The sequence below is a fragment of the Homo sapiens genome, chromosome 3, assembly GCF_000001405.40.
Source record: "Homo sapiens chromosome 3, GRCh38.p14 Primary Assembly".
Taxonomy (NCBI): Eukaryota; Metazoa; Chordata; class Mammalia; order Primates; family Hominidae; genus Homo; species Homo sapiens.
Window position 1 is genome coordinate 130,659,001 of NC_000003.12, and position 24,689 is coordinate 130,683,689.

The window sequence follows — 24,689 nt, forward strand, 5'->3', positions numbered from 1 at the left end:
TTTCTACATAGTGCAGCTTACAGGAAACAGTAATGATTCTTAGAAAAACAGCCTATTTCATTGCCAAGTTTTTATGCTATAAAGTATATTTATGTGTTTTCTAAATCTCAAATGTTCACAGCCACAAAGAAATGCCTGAAAGCAATTCAGCACCCTCCTACCTGCTTAGGAATATTTTTTAGTACAGTCAAAGTGGAAAATAGCAGAAATTCATACATTTCTCATTGAAAAAAGGCTTCATAGACTCCCAAATATTAAGCATCAGAAAGATTTGCAGTGTTGATTTATTTGTAGTGTTTTATACGTAATGTATAGGTCTAACTAGAAAACTGGACTCTAATCTTCCATTTGAGTGTTCTAATAATTACAAAGACAGTGGAAGCCACTGGAATCATTGGTGGCTGTAATAGCTAAGAGATATAAAGCATTTTCTATAGGCCATGCACTGTTCTAATTCATGTAATATCAATGATGGTGATAATGACAGTTAATACTTAAACTATTGTGCTTATGTTCCAAGCACTGTTTTAATAACTTTAAATGAATTATGTCATTCAGTCTTTAAAATCACCCTAAAACATTTAAACTACTATTAGTTCCATTTTACAGAAGAGAAAAATAAAGCTTAGAGATAGTAATTTGCTCAGGGCTTCACAGCCATATTAAACCCAAGAAGGCTGACTCTAAACCGTCTGCAGTTTATGAAAAACAGGTCTCATTCTTCTGCTCCCTAAACCTCTCCATTTGAGCCTGTAGAAAATGCTTGATTTTTCTCCTTCACATGTATCAGTGAGATGCAAATGCCTGCCATATAAATGACCTAAATGAGGAAGGTAGTAATTCTGAGGGAGAAGTAGGGTTTCTGGTCTTCTAATAACCCCTCTTCTTTCTGTCTTCCCTCTGCTCCCCTCTATCAAATTTCCCTCTTTCCCTCTCCTTCTCTTGACTGCACAGAATTGGTTTAGGCGCTGGCAATCTTACTCAGAACAGTTAAAGTGCTTTACATACTGTGGGGAGATACATTCCACCCTATGTATTCTCAGTTGCTTTTTCAAACATGTCAGTTACAACAGTGTGATGGTATGTTGCATAGTCAGAAGTTGCACATGTGTGACTGGGGATAGATTTTGGCTTCATTTCTTGGCTTAAACCCTTGTTTTGTCTCTTAGGCATATAATAAAAGAGATTTTGGCTGTTGTTTCCTGCAATTAAAAATCCTACAAAACTGAGCAAATGGGCAGCCTGCTGTCCCTGATTTTAGAAACTGCTTTGCACACAGGTGACTGTTTTATCATCTGACCATTATACAGGACCATAAAATTTTAGTTAACTTCAGTAAGGGAACCATAACTTATCCAAAGTCACATCTTTATTGAGTCCATGAACAAGACTGTAGTGAGAATTTTCTTACATCTCCTAGGATCAGCACTCTGGTTATTAATCTTTCATCTAAGTTTTTATTTGTGGCCTCTGCCTATATATCCAGTACCAACTGTCCATACTCATGTTACTCCATTTTTCTTTCTTATCTTTGGTTATTAAAGAGGCTATTTTCATCCTCAACCATCAACTACTATTGAAAACCCAGGATTACAAAATGTCAGCCCTGAAAGGGGTCTGTAGGTGAGCCTGGTCCTACCACCTAATTTTACAGAACTATGCTGAACTGAAGCCCAGTGGTGACTTGGCTAGGGGCACACAGCTTGTTACTGAAACGAGACCAGAACCCAAGCATCCCAGCTCTCAGGCCAAGGGGCCTCCCCACTACTATACCACCTGGCCTCATCTCTAACAATAAAATACTGACTTCCTATATAGAAACTTCTAGAAATACTGGTGTGTCCTTAGGCAAAATTATTTTACTATCCTGGCCACAGTCTCTTCTGTAAAATTACAACATTAAATGACCTTTAAGAACCTTCCATTTCCATTTTTTTATTCCTCTGAATATTCATGGTGGTCATATTCAATAAAATCCCGTTTTTATTACTATGCATTCTTTTATTAAATGAGATATGCATATTTATAAAATGACCTCATTTAGGAAAGTCCATTAATATCTAATATTCATTTAACAAACATGTATTCAGTTTTCAACTAATGAGCACTATGGAAATGCAAAGATGAGCTTTGTCCTTAAGGATCACTCATAGGTAGACACTGAGTTATAAACTTATTTAAATTGAAATAAAAGATATATTACTTTGTTCACTTTTACTTTGTAAGCACTTCTTCATAGTAGAATATAAGCGTAGTGATAATATTGTCAATCTAGAGGGATGAGTCACTGTTATGTTGTGATACAGTATACCCTTGCATGCACGAGGCCAATCGTCCACTTCAAATGACATAAACTTGAGACACAGCCAAGATTAAACTTCTGTTGAAAACAGCCTAATCTTTAAAAGTCTGATAGCATTAGTAAATGGAGTCCAAGACACAAGCTGGGTATAAAATCTGTACTTTTGGGGGACAGATGCAAACCATGTACTAGGAAATCTTCCTGTTACTATTAAAGTATTTAGTCACTATTTTAACATCAAAGACTATGCAGTTTCCAAATGTCAAAATATTTGACATGCTATCTTCCCTTTTCTATTTCTACTTAGTAACCCAGAGTAACTTTTGGTTCACAGATGTGTGCAAGCCAGATGCTTCTTGTGACCAAGCCAGACCACCCCCTGTGCAGTCTTACATGGATGCTGCTTTCCTTCTGGATGCCTCCCGGAACATGGGAAGTGCTGAATTTGAAGACATAAGAGCCTTCCTTGGAGCACTATTAGATCACTTTGAAATCACCCCAGAGCCGGAGACTTCTGTCACTGGAGACCGGGTGGCCCTATTGAGCCATGCTCCCCCCGACTTCCTACCCAACACTCAGAAGAGTCCAGTTAGAGCTGAGTTCAATCTTACCACCTACAGAAGTAAGCGCCTCATGAAGAGGCATGTGCACGAGTCAGTTAAACAACTAAATGGAGATGCTTTTATTGGTCATGCCTTACAGTGGACTCTGGACAATGTATTTTTAAGTACACCCAATCTGAGAAGAAACAAAGTCATATTTGTGATATCTGCTGGGGAAACCAGCCACTTAGATGGGGAAATCTTAAAGAAGGAATCCTTGCGAGCCAAATGTCAGGGATATGCCTTATTTGTGTTTTCCCTTGGCCCTATTTGGGATGACAAGGAACTGGAGGATCTCGCCAGCCACCCTTTGGATCACCACCTGGTCCAGCTTGGCCGAATTCATAAACCTGACCACAGTTATGGTGTGAAGTTTGTGAAGTCCTTTATAAACTCAATCAGGCGTAAGTCATAAAATCTGTTGTTCTCTGCACTTTAAGAATATACTTGGTATTACTAAAAAAAGGTTGATGAGCTAACATGGATACTTGGAAACCTCTTGTCTGTCTTCAAGGGCACTTCAGGGTCAGAAAGGAAAATATATAATGACGGATGGTAGAAGGGAGGAAACCTCTGATTCCTACACATTTAGTTTTCTGGCTTATTTTTTTTTTATGCCTCTGGTTCCTATAGAGAAGCAATCATAACAAGCAGCTGTTCACACATCTGTCTTCATGGAGCAGTGCAGTCCGGGGGTGTGAAGTCATAGCCTGGACTTTAGCTACAAAGTAGAAATCCTTGCAGTGTAACCTTAGCACACTGCCCTTTGATGGAAAGTTTCATCTGTTAAGGCACCAAAAAAGAGAGCCAAAGAAAAATTAAACAGTTCTTGGCTTTGCTTTCACAAGTTCCTGAGGCAGAGTTTGAAGTGTTAGGAGATACCATTTTACCTGTCAGAATGAAAAATAGAGCCTTGCAAAACTTTCTTAGCCTTGTTAATGGCTCTTTTTATGATGCCAGTAATTAGAGTAACTGGTGCCCATAAAAAAGAAACATGGGCTGCATTTCTTGGAGTAAGTTTGCCTTGAAAATATGCAATCCATTTTGAATGCAACAGGGTGGATAAAAAGCTGTATCCTAATATGATTCTGAAGGGTGAAAAGCACTTGGTAGGACTTGCAAACGTTTTCATGGTAAATGATCCCTTGCAGTCCAGATACAGAAAAATGAACACACAGGCAAAAGAGTACCCGGTGTGGTTCAACTGAGGTCCTGATTGTGTCTCAAATGTGCCTCTGATATTACGTGGCAAGCCCAGTTAAAGCTGTAGAGACACAGACTTATCAGTCAGTGTAGGGTGAGGTCTAAGGAGCCTTGGAGATTGTTGTTGGGGCTGATAGTATATCCTCTATGATTCAAACTGACTCTAGAACCAGTAGTACCAGTGTCACTTGGGAGCTTGTTAGAAATGTAGAATCTTAGGACCCAACCCAGTCATTCTGAACCAGAATCTGCATATTATAAAGATCCCCAGGTGACTCATATGTATATTATGGTTTGAGAAACACTTGGATGGGAACAATAAGCCCCCAGAATGAAATTTATGTGGATGTATTCTGGAATAGAAGCCAGAAAGAAGAGCTGAGGAAAAAAAGGAAAAAAACGGGGATGGGGCCATTCTGAAGAAAGGAATCATAAGGCATTTGTAAGGGTAAAAAAAGTACATCTCTAAAGACTGATAACTTGTAAAGAAACTCTCATCAGGCAAGAAGTTGCAAGAAGTCTTATGATGGAATTTCCTTCCCCACTCCCCCAAAATTCTTGGTAGTGTTTCATGGGTTATTAGTCAAATTATATTATTAGATAAATGGCACCACCCCACCCCTCAACTGAGGAAAGGTAAAAAGATGTTTTAAGAAAAAAGTACTTAGGGTACATGAGAGATACATAAAGTGCTTTGGGAAAATTATAACCATGATGAAATTATACACCATTCTTCTAGAACTTAGATCTATAAATCTTCAATCTTTAAAATGTAACTATAAAAGTACAAGTCAAGAAAGACTTTGCATAATCATGTTCAAGTCTACATGCTTAATTCCATAGCAGGCTCACAGACTTGTACTAACGCATTCAACATTAACATATATTTACTGGGGAACTTCTCTGAGCCACTCACTGTTCTGATGCTGGGTATCAAGGAGTGACCAAAACAGTCTTGGTTACTGACTGGTCTTCTGGTCTAGCTCCCTCGCTTTGTGGCTCTTATTTAAATATACTGTTATAATAGAGTTGACTATCAAGCACACTCCACATCAAAATCAACACATTTTCTAAGAGAAACAAAACTGCTGACAAACCATCTGATACTTAACACAGATAAAAAAATTAAAAATCAGGTGCACAATAACAGAAGCATCACACAGTCTTAGGCCATTCAGTCCAGAGCACACAGTCTTACTTAGAACAGCAGCTCTGGAGACAGTGTTGGGTCACGGTCCAGGACAAACTTGCTACTTATGATGACCCTGGGTGACCAGGAAGAGATCTAGTTGTGTTTAGCAAATCTATTTGATTTACTGCTTCAAAGAAATAGATAATACATTTTTAAGAATTCCCATCAAAAATGGCTTTTAAATCTTTACATGGTATAAAAAGAGGCATGCTTCATTGTTATGAAAAATTAATACACTTCCAAATGAAATGAGCCACTAATGAACTGAACCCAAGATGTTAGTGCTATTGTTGCTGTTGTTAGTGTTTCAAAGATCATAAAGAAAATGTCTTTTTTCCTTTGCATTTTGATATTTCAAAGGAGCAAATAAATAACTACTCTTGTTAGTTTATATCAATTAAAAGCCAGACCTATTAGGACTGGCTCATTGTTATCTCCTCTAATGGTTGACCCGCTTTAGCAGCTAAGAGGATCTTACTGAAAAGTTAGTTGAATTCACCTATAAATTCAGAAGGGATGTGTTTTCTAAAGTCAGTTTTAAAGATTCCCCTGAGAAATCTGCTTTCATTTCATGTGATCACCTTAGTTGGTATTTTTCTTGATGGCTATTTAAAACAGTAAAGTGGCACTTTGTGTACAGAGCAGATTGCAGTAATGTTAACAGTCATGAATACAAGACTTATCACAGACTTTTCTCTTCTAGGTGCAATCAACAAATATCCACCAATAAACTTAAAAATAAAGTGCAACAGACTTAACTCTATAGATCCAAAGCAGCCCCCACGACCATTCCGAAGGTACTGTCTGTTTGGTGTTACTTGATAAATGAGAATGCCCCCTGCCTTTCTTCTATTTTCCTCCTCCTCCTTTTCTTGCTTTTCTTCCTCCTCCATCTTATTTGGACAAAAATCTATTGCTACATGATATTAAAATATAATTCGAAGGAACAAGAGATAACTTTTTAAAATGACCATGCTGATCTGAAAAACAAATTGCTTTTTTTTTTAATGGAAAAGCTAAGTGTTGAAATAAAACACCCAAATGGGACACCCCAGTGACAATGAGCATGCCTGATAACCACATTGTGGTTTCTAAATACCTTTAAAAGGAACCAGGGTTTCTTAGAGAAAGTCCTAATTCTAGATTGCCCCAGGGAAGGTACAATATTAGCCTGGAGAAACTTGTTATGCCAGAAAGCAAGAAAATAATTAAAAACCAACAATGTCTTTTCAAAAGGACAAAGGAGTCATCTTGATGGGATTCCCACTGGCCTAATTTTGAGTAAGTTGAACGTTAGAAAGTATAAAGATAATGAATTATAACACTTTGAATTTTTAAAATCCGCAAGTCTATATAGAGGACTTCCAAAAATGGAGGAAGAGAGAAAATGTTCTCTATACAAGAATGCTAGCTAATAAATGTAGAAGGAATGGTAGAATTAGAAAATCACCAGTTTGTGGTTCACAATGTAATAACAATGTTAATAACATATTACAATAACTGATGATTACAGGGTGCCAAAACCATCGCGTGACAGGTTGTTGGGGAACAGGCTGTTTAAATAGTCTCACAGAACCACTCACATGTTACTTATTAATTACAAACAGGAAAATGTGCCTTTACGTGGTGAGATCTGGCATTATGTGCCTCCTGAGGGGATGCAGTGGGAGGTGCACAACGTCACCTAAATGAGCGTCTTGGTGGACCTCAGATAGGATGTTTAATCCAAGTCTAATAATGAGGAAACCAATGGACAATTCCAGAATCTAGAATGTTTTTCAGAACACCTTGCCTACATTGTTTATAGGATTCATATCATGAAGAATAGAGGGACATGGGGTACTGTTCTAGAATGGGAGACAAATGAGACAAAATGGTCAAATGTAATTGTGTGAATCTTAATTCGATCCAAGATTGGAAAAAAGCTAATATAAATGATATTTGGGGAACAATAGGGAAAATTTGAGTATGAACAATATGTTGGATGATATTATTGAATTAATGTCAGTATCCTTGTATGTGGTAGTAGTATCATGTTTTTATAAGAGAATGTCTTTGTTGAGATAGGTATGCTGAAGTACTTAAGAGTAACATGTATGATGGCTGCACCCTACCTTCAGATGGTTTTCCTAAAGGGAAGTAGGATAGGGTGTGTGCGTGAATGAATATATGTGTACATTATATACATATATACATATAAAGAATAGCAAGATAGTAACAGTTGGAGAATATAGGTGAAAGATATACAGGTTATTTATGATTCTGTTCATTCTAATTTTCTGTGAATTTCACAATTAAAACTTGTAAAACTTAGTGAAAGAGTAAACAGTAATAAATGTGTCTGAAGAGAAACATAATTACAGAAAATGCTGAAATAGAATGCAGAGATGATCAAGAATTTTAGAGACAAAATGAAATGGGAAGATCTAACCTATATCTAATTGGAATTCTAGAAAGATAAAATAGAAATAATGAGAGCCAATATTCAAAGACATAAAGAGATTATCATTTTCTAGAACTTATGAATGACATGAATTCACAGATGAAGAAAAAAGATATAACAGGCAAGATAAATAGAAAGCAACAGTTGGACATAGTATGGGGAAATGCAGGACACCAAGACAAAAGCAGCCAAAAAGAAAGGGCAGATTATCTACAAATAAATTGTAATTAGGCTGGTAGGTGATTTATCAATTGTAACAGTGGAAACCACAAAACTATTGAATAACTTTAGTGGAAGAAAATTTTGTCAACTTAGAAAAACTGTCTTAAGACAATTTAGACTTAAACAATAGTTTACTACAAAAAAGTCTTTATTAAAGAAACTTCTACAGTATGTACTTCAAGAAAAATAAAAAATAACCACAGAAGAAGGGAATGAGATGCAAGAGGCAATAGTAAGTGATAAAGTTTATCAGTATTTAGTTAAATCTAAACAAATGTTTTTTTGTTTGTGAGACAGAGTTTCACTCTGTCGCCCAGGCTGGCGTGCAGTGGCATGATCTCAGCTCATTGCAACTTCCACCTCCCAGGTTCAAGCAATTCTCCTGCCTCAGCCTCCCAAGTAGCTGGGATTACAGGTGTGCACCACCACGCCTGGCTAATTTTTTGTATTTTTTAGGATAGATGGGGTTTCACCATGTTGGCCAGGCTGGTCTTGAACTCCTGGCCTCAGGTGATCCACCCGCCTCAGCCTCCCAAAGTGCTAGGATTACAGGCGTGAGCCACCGAACCTGGCCTAAACAAATGCATTTTTAAGTAATATATATTAACTTGTGGGATTATAAAAAAGCTGTACTTGTTAACAAAGCTATGAAAATAAAACATTTCACCTGGTGGTTTTAACAGAAAAAGTTCTAAGACTATAAATATTAATAAATGTTTTTGATTTATTTAAATATGAGAAAAGACATCAACAAAAATAATCTTGTATTATTAAAAAATGAAGCCTTGGACTTTAAGGAAAGCAAGGTGGTACTAAAAAGAGGGTAATAATAATGTAAGTCACAGGGAGATAGATGGAGTTAAAAGATTCTAGGAGCTTGTATCATTTGGGCCGGGGATTAGGCTATTGAAAAACTTGAGATGCTTAAAAAATGCATAACAAATTTTAAGGGCACACATGAAAAAGAAAAATATAAATTAGCTAACTACCAAAAATCTAGTGAGGGAAAATAGGATAAAAAAACAACAATGTAATAATTATTTTTTAAAAATAAAAAGCCAAGAAAGTTTCTTTAAAAAGGCCAAAAAAAAAGACAAGCAGAAGGCACAAAGACAGCAGAATCAAGTCAATTTAAATATATGAGTAATCACAAAAAAAACAGATTAAACATGCCAGTTACAATCAGAGATTGATGGATTTGATTTTGAAAACAAAATAAAATCCAGCTTCAGCTGGGCGCGGTGGCTCATGCCTATAATCCCAGCACTTTGGGAGGCCGAGGCAGGTGGATCACCTGAGGTCAGGAGTTCGAGACCAGCCTGGCCAACATGGTGAAACCTCATCTCTACTAAAAATACAAGAAATTAGCTGGGCGTGGTGGCGGGCATCTGTAATCCCAGCTACTCGGGAGGCTGAGGCAGGAGAATCGCTTGAACCCAGGAGACAGGGGTTGCAGTGAGCCAAGATCACACCATTGCACTCCAGCCTTGGGGTCAAGAGCAAAACTCCATCTCAAAAAAATAAAATCTAGCTTCAACTGCTTTCAAGACACACATCCACAATATAAGGAAATGGAGAGGCAGAAAGTAAAATGATGGAAAAAACATACCAGGCAAATATATCAAAAATAAAGGTAGAATAGCTATATTTATATCAGATAATATATACTTTTAAATCATTTTGTAGAGATAAAGAGGATGACTACATGATGACAAAGTGTTCAATTTATGAGGAAGATAAAACAATTTTAAATTGATGAGGGTCGTAAAACCTTAAAATAGACAAAAGAGAAACTGAAAAACCATAAGGAGAAATTGTCATTGAACCATCAAAATTCGAGATTTCAGTATACTAGTTTGAATATTGATAGGTCAAACAGACAAAAATTAGTAATGATATAAAAGATGTAAACATAAGTAACAAATGATTTAATAGATACATGCAGAACCCTGGACAGAAAAATTAGACATTCTTCTGAAGAACATATGGAATATTAACAACTGTTAAATCAAGGTGGAGTGTTTATAAGTGTTCCTTGTGCAACTTCTAACTTATAAAGCAAGTGTCAACAAATCTCTGAGAACTGGTGTCATACAATCCACATTGTCTGACCACAATGCAATTAAGTTAGAAATTAATAATATTTTAGGCTGGGCACGGTGGCTCACGCCTCTAATCCCAGCACTCTGGGAGGCTGAGGTGGGTGAATCACCTGAGGTCAGGAGTTCAAGGCCAGCCTGGCCAACATGGCAAAACCCCATCTCTACTAAAAATACAAAAATTAGCCAGGCGTGATGGCCCACACCTGTAATCCCAGCTACTCGGGAGGCAGAGGCAGGAGGATTGCTCCAACTCAGGAGGTAGAGGTTGCAGGGAGCCAAGATCATGCCACTGCACTCCAGCCTGGGCAAGAGTGAGACTCTGTCTCAAAAAAATATATATATAAATAAAAATAAAATAATATTTTAAAAACCTATACATTTTAAAGGGAATAAATAAATAATGGGACAAAAAATTATAGTGAAAACTTAAAAATACTTAGAACTGTGTAACAATCAAAATGCTATATGTCAAAACTTGTAGGATGCACCAGAAGTCATGATTTAGGAAATTTTATCTTAATTCTCATGTGAGAAAAGTTATTTAAATTCAAGAAGCTAATGAGCTAAGCGTTGATCTGAAGATGTTATATATTTGAAAAAACAGACTATGTTCAAAGAAATGAATGAGTAGAACTTAATATTTTTTAAAAATTAAGATAGTATCAACAAAGGCAAAAGTCAGTTCTTTCAAAACTTAAGAATGTGCATATATATTGTATCTTTAGCACGTATGAATATTACTTTTTAAAAATTAGAAATAAGTGAAATCAAATGGGAGTGTCTCTATTTCTGTGGTAAATTATTCTGTACAAACACACATATACATTACCCAGCCACCAACCACAATCAAATGTGCACCAGCACCTGGAACCCACACTTAGGCAAATACCTTTGGCGATGTGCCTACTTTTATTGTGTGATGTGTGCATTTCTGCATGGTGATCAAGGCCAGGGAGGCACTCCTAATGCAGTAGCCCCAGCTCTGTCACCTCTGAGAAGCCTCCACCTGGAATCTCTTGCTTACCTTGACAGGTGAGCTGTCCAGGGAAACTGTCCAGCAGCAAATAATTCCTGAAGTCAAGCCTAAAACAGGCCTGTGAATTAAGTCCAAGGAGAGCAGGGCTCCCCGTGCTGCAGGTGTCTGGCAGCTTGGAAAAGGGACATAGACAAGATGCCGTGCATGTGACTCTTGCCGAGGACAGTATCTTTGGCATGGAGGGTACATTAAAGCTGGTGTTAAAGCAGTGTTTTCACCAAGTCAGGCTAAGTGCTACAAGCTGGTTAGCTTGCACAGGGCCTGGGTGCTCAGTAGGGCACAGCACTTGGGGTTTAGTGCTCTACAGTCACTATTAGTGTTATTTTTGAATTTGAGTTTTATAGTGAAGTCCAATGGGATAATAAAGCACGTGTTGGGGAGTCGGAACCTAGAGACTTGGTTCACTTGCCAGTCAACCTCCCTCCACTTCCCCAGGACTGGTTCTCATAGACCACTGTGTACCTCCCAGTTCCCTGGGGTTCCCCCACCCCACCTACCCTAGACTGGGAGGCTTAGGGTCAGTTATGCTCCCACAGTCTTGGGACAGGGAAGGCAGCGGCCATCCACCCCAAGCTGGCAGTGCCACGCTGCATTTATCTTTTGCCCACCTACATCGAGGCACCCAGCATGTCCCAGCAAAGAGGCTGCAACACTCTAGAGCAAGTCTGTCCAATCTGTGGCCTACAGGCTGCATGAGGCTCAGGACAGCTTTGAATGTGGCCCAACACAAATTTGCAAACTTTCTTAAAACATGAGATTTTGGTGTGATTTTTTGTTTCAAGCTCATCAGCTATCGTTAGCGTTGGTATATTTTATGTGTGGCCCAAGACAATTCTTCCAGTGTCGCCCAGGGAAGTCAAGAGACTGGACACCCCTCTGCTGTAGGTTGGGATGGCCAGCCAAGGGAAGAGGGGAGATGCCTGGCTTGACTTCTGGCTGTTGGGAAAAGGAACTCAACAGCTGGCCACACACCAAGTAAAGGGGATGGGGAAAGCTTATTGAATGACAAATAGAAACCTCCATGGCAGATGGAGAGATCGCAGAAGGAAGAAAGCTTTTTTCCCTGCTTTTAGACTTAAGGGCCTGAATTTGCATTTTGCCGTCGGCTCTCCACATATGTAGCCAGCCATGAATGCTGCAAGGACACATGTGGGAGCCAACCTATGCAATTAAAAGGCATTTTTGAAAACCACTCCTACCATGCTTTATGTTTGCAGAGAAATATGAGTGGGAAGAGGGGATCCACAGTGCTTTTGGACAGGAAGTTTCTTCCTCTTTCGTCACACTGCCCCAGATTCACTGGATGCTCAGCTTCTCCTATGTATTTGAAATGGTGAAATGTCAGCAAATGGCTGGGGCATCAAGGAATTGAGACATGAAATCCATACCACTGTCTGTGCATTCGCCAGCCATTCTATAAGTGATCAAAGACTCTAATCAAAAGTTATGAGCCACACAGCTGCTTCTGAAACTCCTTACCTGAGCCATTCAAGAGAGGTGAGGCACAATTGAACACACAGGATTGAGGGAGATGAGAATACCTGCTAGGAAAGAGGTCTGGATATAAAGATGACTCATCAGGTCTTTAGAATGACTTGCATAGGAATTAGGTCATTCTGTGAGATTATGAGAAATACATGTAGAAGCTGGTGCTTATCAGATAGAAAAGGAAGGAGCTGAATCAAACCACAAGCTACCAAGGAGACAGGTGGCCCATGAGGATGAGAGAGCAGGGCACCCTCTTTATATAAGCACTTAGATCTACTCAGAAACAATAAAGGCAGAAAGCCACCTGTTTATTGCTTCATCCAGCCAGGGAAGAACCTGTGCCAGACTTTAAAGCAGTGATAGGCCAGAGCCAGAACAATTGAATTGTAAAAATGGACATAATCACTAATGCCATATGAATAATGCATCTGTTATAATTCTGCTTTCCAAAGTACGTTTTCTGGGCACACCAAATGTAAAAGAATTCTGGAAATAGAAGCAATCTTGTCTGCATTTTCTATTTCAGTGCATCCAGTCAACTAATAGATGTAGCATGGCTGACTCTTGAATATCTGCATAGATGGAGGAATCTGATCACAGAGAACTACAATTAGTCCCACCTAACCTTATCTAGAATTTGTCACATCCATCTTTCCACAAACTTTACTGGAGCTGAGCACAAGTTGCAAAATAGACGATTTCATTCTTTGTCTTGACAAGCTATTGGAGTTACCAATCAGCAAAGAATTATTTGAACAATATATAGTAGGATAAAGAGAAACAAAGTCTTACAATTCTCAAATTGAGTAATCACATTTTTTTTTTTTTTGGAGATGGAGTCTCACTCTGTCACCCAGGCTGGAGTGCAGTGGTGTGATCTCAGCTCACTGCAACCTCTGCCTCCCGGGTTCAAGCGATTCTCCTGCCTCAACCTCCTGAGTAGCTGGGATTACAGATGTGTACCACCACACCCGGCTAATTTTTGTATTTTTAGCAGAGACAGGGGTTTTACCATGTTGGCCAGGCTGGTCTCGAACTCCTGACCTCAAGTGATCCAACTGCCTCAGCCTCCCAAAGTGCTAGGATTACAGGCGTGAGCCACCGCGCCCGGCCCAAATGATTTTTATTAAGTGATTATTGCCGGGTGTGGCGGCTCACACCTGTAATCCCAGCACTTTGGGAGGCTGAGTCGGGTGGATCAGGAGGTCAAGAAATCAAAACCATCCTGGCCAACATGGTGAAACCCCATCCCTACTAAAAATACAAAAATTAGCTGGGCGTGGTGGCACACACCTGTAGTCCCAGCTACTTGGGAGGCTGAGGCAGGAGAATCACTCGAAACCCGGGGGGGCAAAGGTTGCAGTAAGCCGGGATCATGCCACTGCACCTCCAGCCTGGCAACAGAGCAAGACACCATCTCAAAAAAAAAAAAAAAAAAATTAGTTGGGTGTGGTGGTGGGTGCCTGTAATCCCAGCTACTCACGAGGCTGAGGTAGAAGAATTGCTTGAACCCGGGAGGCAGAGGTTGCAGTGAGCCGAGATCGTGCCACTGCACTCCAGCCTGGGCGACAGAGCAAGACTCTATCTCAAAAAAAAAAAACAAAAAAACAAAAAAAACAAAAAAAACAAAAAAAAAAAACAAAACCCAAGTGCAAACTCCTACATATAACATAGTGAAAAACGGAAATTCAAAGATATGGTATTAATGTTCAACCTTTTGAGAATAAAAATATTTGAGAGGGGAAAAAATATAGCAATATCATGCTATATAAGCACTTACTAATTTAACAATTTTTTCGTAACAAAGATGGGAAGAAAGGTAACAGTAACTAAACCTGCCATAAAAGAAAACAAAGGACCTAACGGAAAAGGCGGGGAGGTGGGGAGAGGTGCGGGGTAGGGGGACGCAGCGTGAAGGGGCTAGGGAAGAGTCCAGTAAAGGTAAGACCATGAAAACAGCGTGCTTCAGACTCAAAAGAATGCCCTTCCCATATCAGTGGAGCCAATGTTCTATGCATACAATCGTCACTTTGGGGAATTTGAGTTTATAATGTTCACTCTGCAAGATAATAAGGAAATGCTGGGATGGTACATGGGTGGCTAACTCCTGTAATCCAAGCACTTTGGGAGGCCAAGGCAAGAAGACTGTTTGACCCCAGGAGTTCAAGACCAGCTTGGGCAACATAGTGAGACCTCAGCTCTCCAAAAATAAAACAATTAGCCAGGTGTGGAGGCACATACCTGTAGTCCCAGCCATTCGGGAGGCTGAGGCAGGAAGATCACTTGAGCCCAGGAGATCTGGGCTGCAGTAAGCTATGATGGCAACACTGCACTCCAGCCTGGGAGACAGAGTGAGACCCTGTCTCAAATAAATATATATACAACTAGTCTAGGGGACTTCAGTTGTTGCTCACAACAACAGAAGTTATTTTTCATTCCCATTTTACACCTGAAGAAACAAGGGTCACTCTAGTTAAATGATTTGCCCAAAGCTGCTCGGCTAGGGGCTAGAATATTAAAATGTGAAGAATGTGTTTGAACCCAAAACTCTTTCCACAACATCCCTGTAAAATACGATTGTCTGAAATGGCTCCTTTTTTGTACTGGCCAATACAGTAGCCACCAGCTATATGTGGTTAATTAAAATTAAATTTCAGTTCCTCAGTCACACTACATTTCAAGTGCTCAAAAGCCTCATGTGGCTCATGGCTGCCATATAGGTAGTACAGATTCTAGGACACTTCTGTCAGCAGAGGTTTTTTCAGACAGGCTCTAAGTTCTACTTAGCACTTGGCTTCTATGATTCCCTGATTTCTCAACCTGTCCTGCAAGCCCTTCCAGAGTCTGACTCCAGCTCCTCTTTACTGTTGGGTTACTCATGATTCCCAGCCAGGCTCTTTCTGTGCCTGCCAGACTGGGCTCTATTTCTATGTCCCCCATTGTACCTAACACCGTGCCTTCTATTAAGCAGATAGTAAACATATGGATGGATGGACCTATGGAAGAAAGGAAGAGATGAAATAAGGGAATGGCATACATTCATGCTTTCATTAGACAAATACTTATTGAGTGACTGCTATGTGTTAAGCACTTTTAGGTTCCTGGGATTACTATAGTGAACAGACAAGATCTCATGAACCTTCTGTCTGGTTGGGTGGAAAAGTGAGGAACAGATCATAAGGAAGTTTACAGGTAAATAAAAGTTCAGATAGTGCCAAGTGTTATAAAGAAAATAGCATGATGTGCTGAGGGACTGTAAGTAGGAGTGGATCTGGGAAAACTATAGATATGGTGGTCTGTGATGAGGTACCATTTGAACCCAAATCTAAACAATCAGAAGAACCAACCATAGGTAGAAATGAGTGGTACATATTCCATGAAGAAACTTTGCTGCTGAAGTAATACTTTTGCATACTTTGATGAGATGTATCATTTGTCAGCTTCTGATATATGAGCCAGTTTAAGTACCCAGTTTAATTTTAAAATTACCCTGGAGGAAGGCTGCAACAAGGAAATGGGTGAAACAATTAATTTACTATGACAGATTAATATGTAGTCTATTAAAGTTGAAATGGCATTTATCTTCTATGATGTTCTCTTTTGTTGTATAGCTTTGTTCCTGGACCACTTAAAGCTACCCTCAAAGAAGATGTATTACAGAAGGCAAAATTCTTTCAAGATAAAAAATATCTTTCAAGAGTAGCAAGAAGTGGCAGAGATGATGCTATTCAAAATTTTATGAGAAGCACCTCCCATACCTTTAAGAATGGAAGGATGATAGAAAGTGCTCCCAAACAACATGATTAAAAAAATGCTTGAACAACTTAGCCTTAGGAAGCATGGTAAGACTCTGGACTTAAATAGTAACTAAATCTGCTGCCAGAACTCAAGCAACAGTTTGTAGGTTATCAGGTGACTTGACCCCCTGCATTCATTGGTATTAAGATATATCTTGTTCATTTATTTGACCACTCCTGACAATTCCAGCACTCTACGACTGATATGTCGAAGAACTGTTTCATTAGAAGACAGAAGAATGAAAGAAGTGTTTTGAAAAGTCTAATGGAGATATAATTTGAAGGTAAAATTTATATGATGTATGCATATGTGTACATGGGTCAATGTTAATTCTTTTATCTCTGTCCAGTTCATTTTCTGCAAACCCATCCTCCTTTCCTAATTTAGTAATGTCTAATGCTCATCTATTTAGTCAAAGTTATTTTTTAATGTTTTAAGCTACTCCAAAATTTATCCTAGAAATGGATGCTGTTTATATGTCGTATTTTTTTAAAACGTGACCTTCTATTCCACTTAAACACACCACTGTGGGAGTTGTTTGCTTGGACTGATGAGAAGAGGGTAATTTTCTCCATCTCTAAATCCTCCTGAACTCACTGAAAAACTCATTAATTCCCGCAGAACATAAATTATTGCTTTTGAGCTGGAAGTTTTCTCTTCATTAGGAAGCTTACTGCCATTTTGATGGAGCTTGAAGCCCCCATTTTGATGGACTTCTAGTCTGTCTTTCCTGTTATGGTCATTTATTAATTTTCACTAATCCATATATTCTTTAGACAAGGAGAGTCAAGAAACTACTTGTCATAGATGAAGCTCTGAGTTACTTTTACCCATCAGGTAGCTGTTTAGTCAATAATAAACAGCACCAAAACAGGATTAGCAGAGCTCTTAAAAACAGCCTTAAATACACACTGAGTTTAGAAAAATGTAAGAAAATCATTGTTTTAATCTACAAATTCATATGCAGTTGCAGAGATGCAAAAGAGATCAGAGTAAGTTAAAGTAGGAAAGGTTTTATAAAAGTATTGATGGCTGTGTCCTCATCTGCATTTTTGTTTTTATGATAGGGCTGATATTTTCAACAACGAAACACCCAATGTTCAGACCTTACCTCAGTCTAAGAGCTGGCTCCACAGTTGGTAGCAATGGCCCTGTTAGGCAGACTGTCCCCCTCTTTGGGAATGGAAAGAAGCCCTGCCTGGATGCATGGAGCAGATGGATACTGACACCAAGGACATTCAGATTTTCTTTCCTATACCTATTTTCATAAAATTTGGAAAGAAAAACTATCTGCAGTATTTTTTTAAAACGACTTCTGCTATTCTTACTTAGAGAAATCCAGTGATAGCACCTCATGTCTTCAGAGGAGCAAGAAGTTCAAGGAGTTAAATGTCACATTCATACTCAGGTAATAGAGAAGAATAAAACACATCAGGTTTGCTTCATCTATCCTAAGTGGTGCTTAGGGGTTCAGAAAAAATGTTTCAAGTACAGGAAATTAATGAGCAATATTTACAATGTATTTTAATAAAAGGGATTTTTCTAGTTAACTCTGAGTTAAGCACGAACTCCTTTCTTTTGTTAATTGTTGGAAATACCATTAAGATGTATTTGTCTGTTTTTCTGCATTGGCAAGTAAAGAACATAAAACAAATATTCCCTTGGTGACAGATTATTTTTAGTATTTTGGGCCATCTTTTGAATCACTAATAGGTGAGAGCTCTAAAGCATGCTGCAAATAGAAGTTCCTTTTTAAAAATCCCTAATATTAGTATTTTCCCTGATTTACCTCTTTCTCCTAAAAGTGGAAACAGCAAAAATTAAGTTGAATATAAATTTAATAAAGCTATATTTAACCCAAGAATCACACAAGCCAGGATGCTTCTTGGTTTAAAAATGTGAATTAATCGACTGTAAAGGAACTGCCTCCCATTATCTCTGCACTGAGCTATGAATCAAACTTTTTTTTTTTAAGTAGAGGTCAAAAGGAGATGCAACTTAACACGGCATCAGATTGTAATACTTAGAATTCAACCAAATAACTTTTTTTTAAAACTGGGGCTTTTCTGTGGGGCAAGGGGACAGAGAAGAATGGGTGGTAGCAGGAGATAAGGGGAGAAAAGGATCATATCTCTGTCAGCCCACTCCATTTTTTTTTCTTAGCACTTCCCATATTTATCAGTCTTACAGCTTATCTATCTAATGGCTCCAGGCTGAAGTCCAATCTCAGCATTACAGTTTATATAGCAAAAAAAATTTTCCCCAACCCCCTTGGAGACTCTAAATCTGACTTAGTAGCTAGAAACCCTGTAAATATGGTCTTAGCAGACATTAAGGGAAACAAAGCCAAGGCAACATGACAATGCCAAATTTGCAATTTCTACCAATCCACTAAGCTATCAGGCCTAGTTAGTCCATCATTCCTAACTTTGACATTTCTGAACGACTGGCATTTTCTGACAGTTTTGTTGTTTACCTGTCTAAAAACTAAGTACAGTTGGCTCTGTATCTGTGGGTGTTCCACATCCATGAATTCAACCGTGGATAAAAAATATTCAGAAAAAGAAGGATGGTTGTGTCTGTACTGAACATGTACAGACATTTTTCTTTTCATTCTCTAAACAATAGAGTATAACAACTATTTAGCATTTACAGTGTATTATGTATCGCAAGTGACCTAGAAATAATTTGAAGTATATGAGAAGATGTGTGTAGATTATATGCAAATACAACGTCATTTTATGTAAGAGACTAGAGCATCTGTGGGTTTTGTTATCCTTGGGAGGTCCTGGAACCAATGCCCCAGAGATACCTAGGGATGATTGTATTGAATCATGAAACTAGATATATGCTTCGTAAACTATATGTACTGTAACTTAATCATATAATTATAAAAATATAGAAAATTCTTACAGTATTTCTAAGCAAGTAGGCTTTTCCCTTGGCTGAGATTTTTACAGACTCATGTAACTAATTTTAAACTAAAATATTCTGAATACCATAAATCCTTCTGCAAGTGGATATGAATTAAATACGGAGTCTGTATGCAAATAGTAATCCATAACCTTGAAGGGTTTTATCTTAGTGGAAAAGACCAATTTTGGCCTTTTAAAAATGTATATTTTTGGTGTACTTTTTTCTTTTTCATGCATTCAATAGTCTATACTGGATAAAAGCAACCTGTTGGGCCAAGTGTCAGAATTTATGGTACAGCCCATAAAAAATAATGATGGCCAAGAGGAGGCACACTTGTATAACTAATATGCAGGAAATCAATTCTACAGTGTTAAATAAATAACTAATAAGACAGACTGTAAAACACACAGGAAATATTAGAGCAGAAAGAGCACAATATTTAGAGTCCAGAGATTTGGACCTAACACCTGGTTCTGTCACTGATTCCTTGTGACATGGACTCCATTTCTTCACCTTAGAACAAATGCTGCTGGAGAGATTATTCCTCTGCTTAATGGAGGGATTATTCCTCTGCTTAAATTTACCATTTAAAAATACCACCAAAACCACAAACTCTTAGGATGCATGAATACAGTTTAACTGCTTTGAATAGCATTTTTAATAGCAAAAATGTGTTTATACTATAATAGCTTACAACCATCTTTTCAACCATCTTTTTCAATACAAAATAAACATATTCATTTTCATATTTTACATTTCTCACCTCTATAACATATACAATAAAAATCCCAGACATTGTTGGCTGGCTGATTCTTGCAAAGAGATGCATAAGTAAACTAGTCAAGTACATCTTAACCATTTTGGGTGTCATTTAGTCAGTCAGTCATGAAACAGTAATATGGAGACATAATTTTGAAAATTAAGCAAATGAATCTGTTCTCTAGAAATGCCTTTTCTCGAGTTATAGTATTATATTTATAACTATTAAAATTTATACAAATCAGTAGGTTTTATTTCCACACCTTCACAATCCCATCTCTAGAAGCAGTTACGATGAAGCCCTGTGTGGTCTGGAATGTGGCGACATCAGTGATGATGTCATGATGTCCCACGGGCAGGGACTCTGGGCCCCTTCGAGGGGTGTCATCACTTGGTCCTACTTTCTGCTTATTCTGAATTTCCTGTTTGGTGATTAAAAGGGAGCAAGCCAGAGGTTAAAAGTCTGTACCACATTTTTCCTCTCGTCAGTAGTCCTGCTTCTGAGATACTGTTGTTGTATTTAAGTTAACACCTTTTGTAGTCATGCTTTCACGAATACATTGAGCAAAAGGAGTAGAGGAGCCAAAATGACATTCTAGGGTCCTAGTCATTGGATTTCATGAGTAGCCACTTATAACTATGGAAAACTTATCTTAGGTCAATATTCTGTGCATATTAACTTTTGCCAACATCAAAAGAAAAAAGGGATAGAATATAATTAAAAGATGTATAGGCCAGGCGCGGTGGGTCACGCCTATAATCCCAGCACTTTGGGAGGCCAAGGCGGGTGGATCACAAGGTCAGGAGATCAAGACCATCCTGGCCAACATGGTGAAACCCCGTCTCTACTAAAAATACAAAAATTAGCAGGGTGTGGTGGCGTGCACCTGTAGTCCCAGCTCCTCAGGAGGCTGAGGCAGGAGAATCGCTTAACCTGGGAGGCAGAGGATGCAGTGAGCAGAGATCGTGCCACTGCACTCCAGCAAGACTCCATCTCAAAAAAAAAAAAAAAAAAAAAGAGGTATAAATGACCAAAATATAAAAAATACATAGCAGATATTCTACCACTTCTAAAGCTCATTAATATTTGTCATGAAGGAAGCACACTTTCATTTACAGAGCACCTACTTTGGCCCAGGTGCTAAAGGTATATTCTCACTTGAAGTTTTTGCCTGAGTCAAGAATACAAACTTTACAGTCCCAAAGCCAGGTTTAAATCCCAGCTTTCTGTTTACTAGCTGTGTGACCTTGAACAAGTTACTTAACTTCACTGTGCCTTTTTCATTTGTAAGAGGATAATAAAAGTGCTTCCTTACGATGTTATAAAGTACATACTGGTCATTTGAGCTATTACTTATATGCACTTTCTTTATGCTTATTTTACCTTAATAAAAGTTAATTTTTTTAAATACAGAAAATTCAAGAAAAAATAAATTTCCTAAATTCAAAGTACTCCTCGCTTGGTCAAGCCATTTATTTTAATCAATTCTGTTTACAAAAGCCATGTTTGTGCTTACAAAAGGTGAAAGGAATGAAAAGACTACAGTACCTGGACAACTTCAGTGCCTTCAATTATTTTCCTGTAGTAGGACACAGATGGGGAACTAGTACTTCCTGCAACAACATAGGACCTTTCTGGGTAAGCCAAGTCCCAAAACCTAGGAAAGAGGAAATAAATGATGACAATCTCTTCAGGACAATGGGAGGAACTAATAATCATTGGCTTATCTTCATCAATGCATTTTTTCTTTTGCATTAGGAAAAGAGGTTTTCATAGAACAGCATACCATTGGTTACAAATAAAGTATTAACAGCTGTCCTTATAAGATGATTTTAAACATTACAGTGCCATCAGTATCTATAATAACAGCTTGTAAAAGTATCCATTTTATTAAAGTATTGAGATAGTGTACCTTATTTTCATATCTGAGCCAGCTGTTAGTAGGATAGGATTTCCATCTGCAGGACTACAGTAGATACCATGGACGCTATGAGGAGAAGGCTTAAAAGAAATAGATGTGGAGTCAAATAAAAGACATCCGTGTATTCCATAAATGATAGTGCTATTTCTAGAGGCAAGTTAACTGTCAGTAGCTTTACAAGCACCTGGTTAACTGAAGAAATGAGAGACCAGTTATGTATGCCCTATCTACTTCAATCTGGCCTTTTCCTAATTATGCTAGATCTTATTGGGGTTCCAAAGAGACATCACAAGCTTTATGGGCTAGCAACTTATTTACCCAATAATGCAGAACACTAGCAAGGAAACACTCATGTAGCAATGGCCACATGATACTTGATGTTATTAAAAACCCAAATTTAAACATAACCCAAAAGCCCAACAGATACTAGGTTTGATTAAATGCCTGAAAGTACTTAGGATGTGGGGAATAATATCATCCTTTACAGTAAAAACTGAAGTCAAACCTGTAATTCAGAAAGTGGTGGTGCACTGCTGGCCCAGAGAGTAAATCTTCTGTCACCAGTCTCCATGTCCCACATGGACACTTCGTTGTTGCCCTGAACAGCTAAAGGAAACAAAGGCCAGAATCTTGACTCAGACAAAAAGAGTTGGAGAAGATTACAACAAAACAAATTGCAGTCCTGAGAGAAAGAAAGAAAAATTTCTTTCTTTCTTTCAGGGGGAGAGACAATATAATATTCACTTAATAATATTTACTGAGCCAGTAAATATAGTAAATATTTTTACTATGGGCTAGTCACTGCGCTAGGCACTGAAGAAGAGATGGCAAACAAAGCAGAAAAATTCCCAGTTTCATGGAACTTCCATTTTAGTGGGGACAACAGACAAAAATGCAAAGGCCCTTCTGAAGCAGGAGTGTGCTTAGTTGAAAAAACAAGTCAGTGTGGCAGGAACAGACTGAGAATGGGAGATAAGTAGGAGAAAGGGCAGTAATGCTGGTCATTTTCCATTTGCTGCTCTAAATCTGACCTGAATGAACCACATCAACAAGCTTCTGTACTCCCTCTGGCTGGGTCCGCCAGCCTGTGGTAGGCTAAATAATGGCCCCAAAGGTATCCAAGTCCTATCCCCTGGAACCTGTGAATGGTACCTTATGTGGCAAAGTGACTTTGCAGATGTGATGAAATTAAGGACCTTGAGACAGATTATTCTGGATTACTCAGGGGGCCCTACATGTAATCACAAATCTCCTTAGGCGAGGGAGGCAGATTTGGCAGCAAGAACAGAAAGCAGTATAACAATGAAACAAGATGCTATGTTGCTGGCTCTGAAGATGAAAGAAGGAGCCAAGGAATTTGGTTCTAGAAGCAGGAAAAGGCAAGGAAATAGATGTTCCCCTAGTGCCTCCAGAGGGAATACAAGTCTGCTGCTACCTTGATTTTGGTCCACAAAACCCATTTCAGACTTCTGGCCTCTAGAATTATTAAAAAAATAAGTTGTGATGTAATAGGAAACTAATACTTGCCTATGGGAAACCGCAGCAGGAGATCAAAGGGAGGGAGGGAAGAAAGTCAAGTCATTCATATCAGGCTGGTTGTATCCCTCATCTCACAGTCACTGCTCCTTTCAAGGTGGCCTTCTCTACTCCTTCCCAAATTCAGTAACCATGCCCTCCTCCCCTCATGCCTTCTACTGCTACTCTGCTGTTACCAGCCCATATTACTGTGCTATCTTTTTTAATACCCCCTACACCCAAACCTTTGTAAACAATTTTATTTGAAAATAAATTCTTAAATTATCCTACCTTGAGTGTGCTACTGTTTCCTGTTAGAATTGTAGGTGATAAGGGTCAGAGAGGTGGCAAGAAGGCCGGTCCCATAAAGTCTTTTGGACCAAGAAGCCAATGGAAGGTACTGAGCAGAAGAAAAAAATGGTCTTAAGAGGTACAGACAGAAGCAGGCTGTGAAGAAGATATTACATTAATAGGGGAAAGAGATTATAGTGGTTTGGACTAGGGAGATAGTGATGGAGGTAGTGAAGAGTGATCAAATTCTGGCTATACTTTAAAATAGAACTTACAGGACTGGCTAATGGACTGGAAGTGGGATGAGAAAAAGAGCAGTCGAGGATAATTCCAGGCTTCTGAGCACCTAGCTGCCATTTACTGAAAGAATACCATAGGAAGAGCAGGGTAGGAGGCAGTGGTGGAGACATTTAGTAGAGAGGAAATCAAGCATTCATTTTAGTTAGACATGTTGAGTTTACAATGGCTATTAGACATCTTAAGAGAGATTTTAAATAGGTATGAGTCTGAATAAATTTAGTAGTTAAAGCATGAGACTGCATGAGATCAAACACAGAGCCAGTGTAGGAGAAGTGGTTGAGACCAAAGACTGGGTCCTGAGGCAGGCCACAATTTAAAAGCCAGGAAGATGAGAAGGAACGAGCAGATCAAGAAGTAGGAGAACCAAGAGAAATGTCCTTGAAACCAGGTAAGGAAAGTATTTGAAAATAACAGAAATCAACTGATCAAATGATAAGTCAAATAAGAAAAGGGCTCACAGTAATAGCCTTAGAACTTGGCAACACGGTGACTTTGATAGCAGCAGTGTATGCGATGGACTATGTGTACAAGAAGGGACCACAAAGAGCCTAGAGGCAAGAGGGCTGAGGGGAAAACCTAAGAATAATAAGAGCTATTA

At 38.6% G+C, this 24,689-nt stretch overlaps 2 protein-coding genes across 14 annotated transcripts in view; one reads left to right on the plus strand and one right to left on the minus strand.

The window, feature by feature from the left end:
* Positions 1–18,042, plus strand: part of COL6A6 (collagen type VI alpha 6 chain) — a 160,323-nt gene extending 142,281 nt beyond the window's left edge. For 12 of the 13 annotated variants that reach the window (XM_017005713.3, XM_017005711.3, XM_011512426.4 and 9 more), the window contains 3 exons: positions 2,637–3,308; positions 6,003–6,096; positions 16,202–18,042. In XM_017005713.3, the coding sequence (XP_016861202.1) occupies positions 2,637–3,308; positions 6,003–6,096; positions 16,202–16,397 (962 nt within the window). In that variant the 3' untranslated portion in view covers positions 16,398–18,042. The remainder of the gene's footprint in view (positions 1–2,636; positions 3,309–6,002; positions 6,097–16,201) is intronic. The other variant, XR_924103.3, reaches the window with a different exon arrangement.
* The window catches only part of PIK3R4 (phosphoinositide-3-kinase regulatory subunit 4), a 67,896-nt gene continuing 63,140 nt past the window's right edge, over positions 19,934–24,689 (minus strand). Inside the window, exons 17-20 of the mRNA NM_014602.3 lie at positions 22,491–22,591; positions 21,977–22,065; positions 21,613–21,721; positions 19,934–20,485 (exon numbers count right to left, since the gene is read on the minus strand). Of these exons, the coding sequence (NP_055417.1) occupies positions 20,315–20,485; positions 21,613–21,721; positions 21,977–22,065; positions 22,491–22,591 (470 nt within the window). The 3' untranslated portion in view covers positions 19,934–20,314. The remainder of the gene's footprint in view (positions 20,486–21,612; positions 21,722–21,976; positions 22,066–22,490; positions 22,592–24,689) is intronic.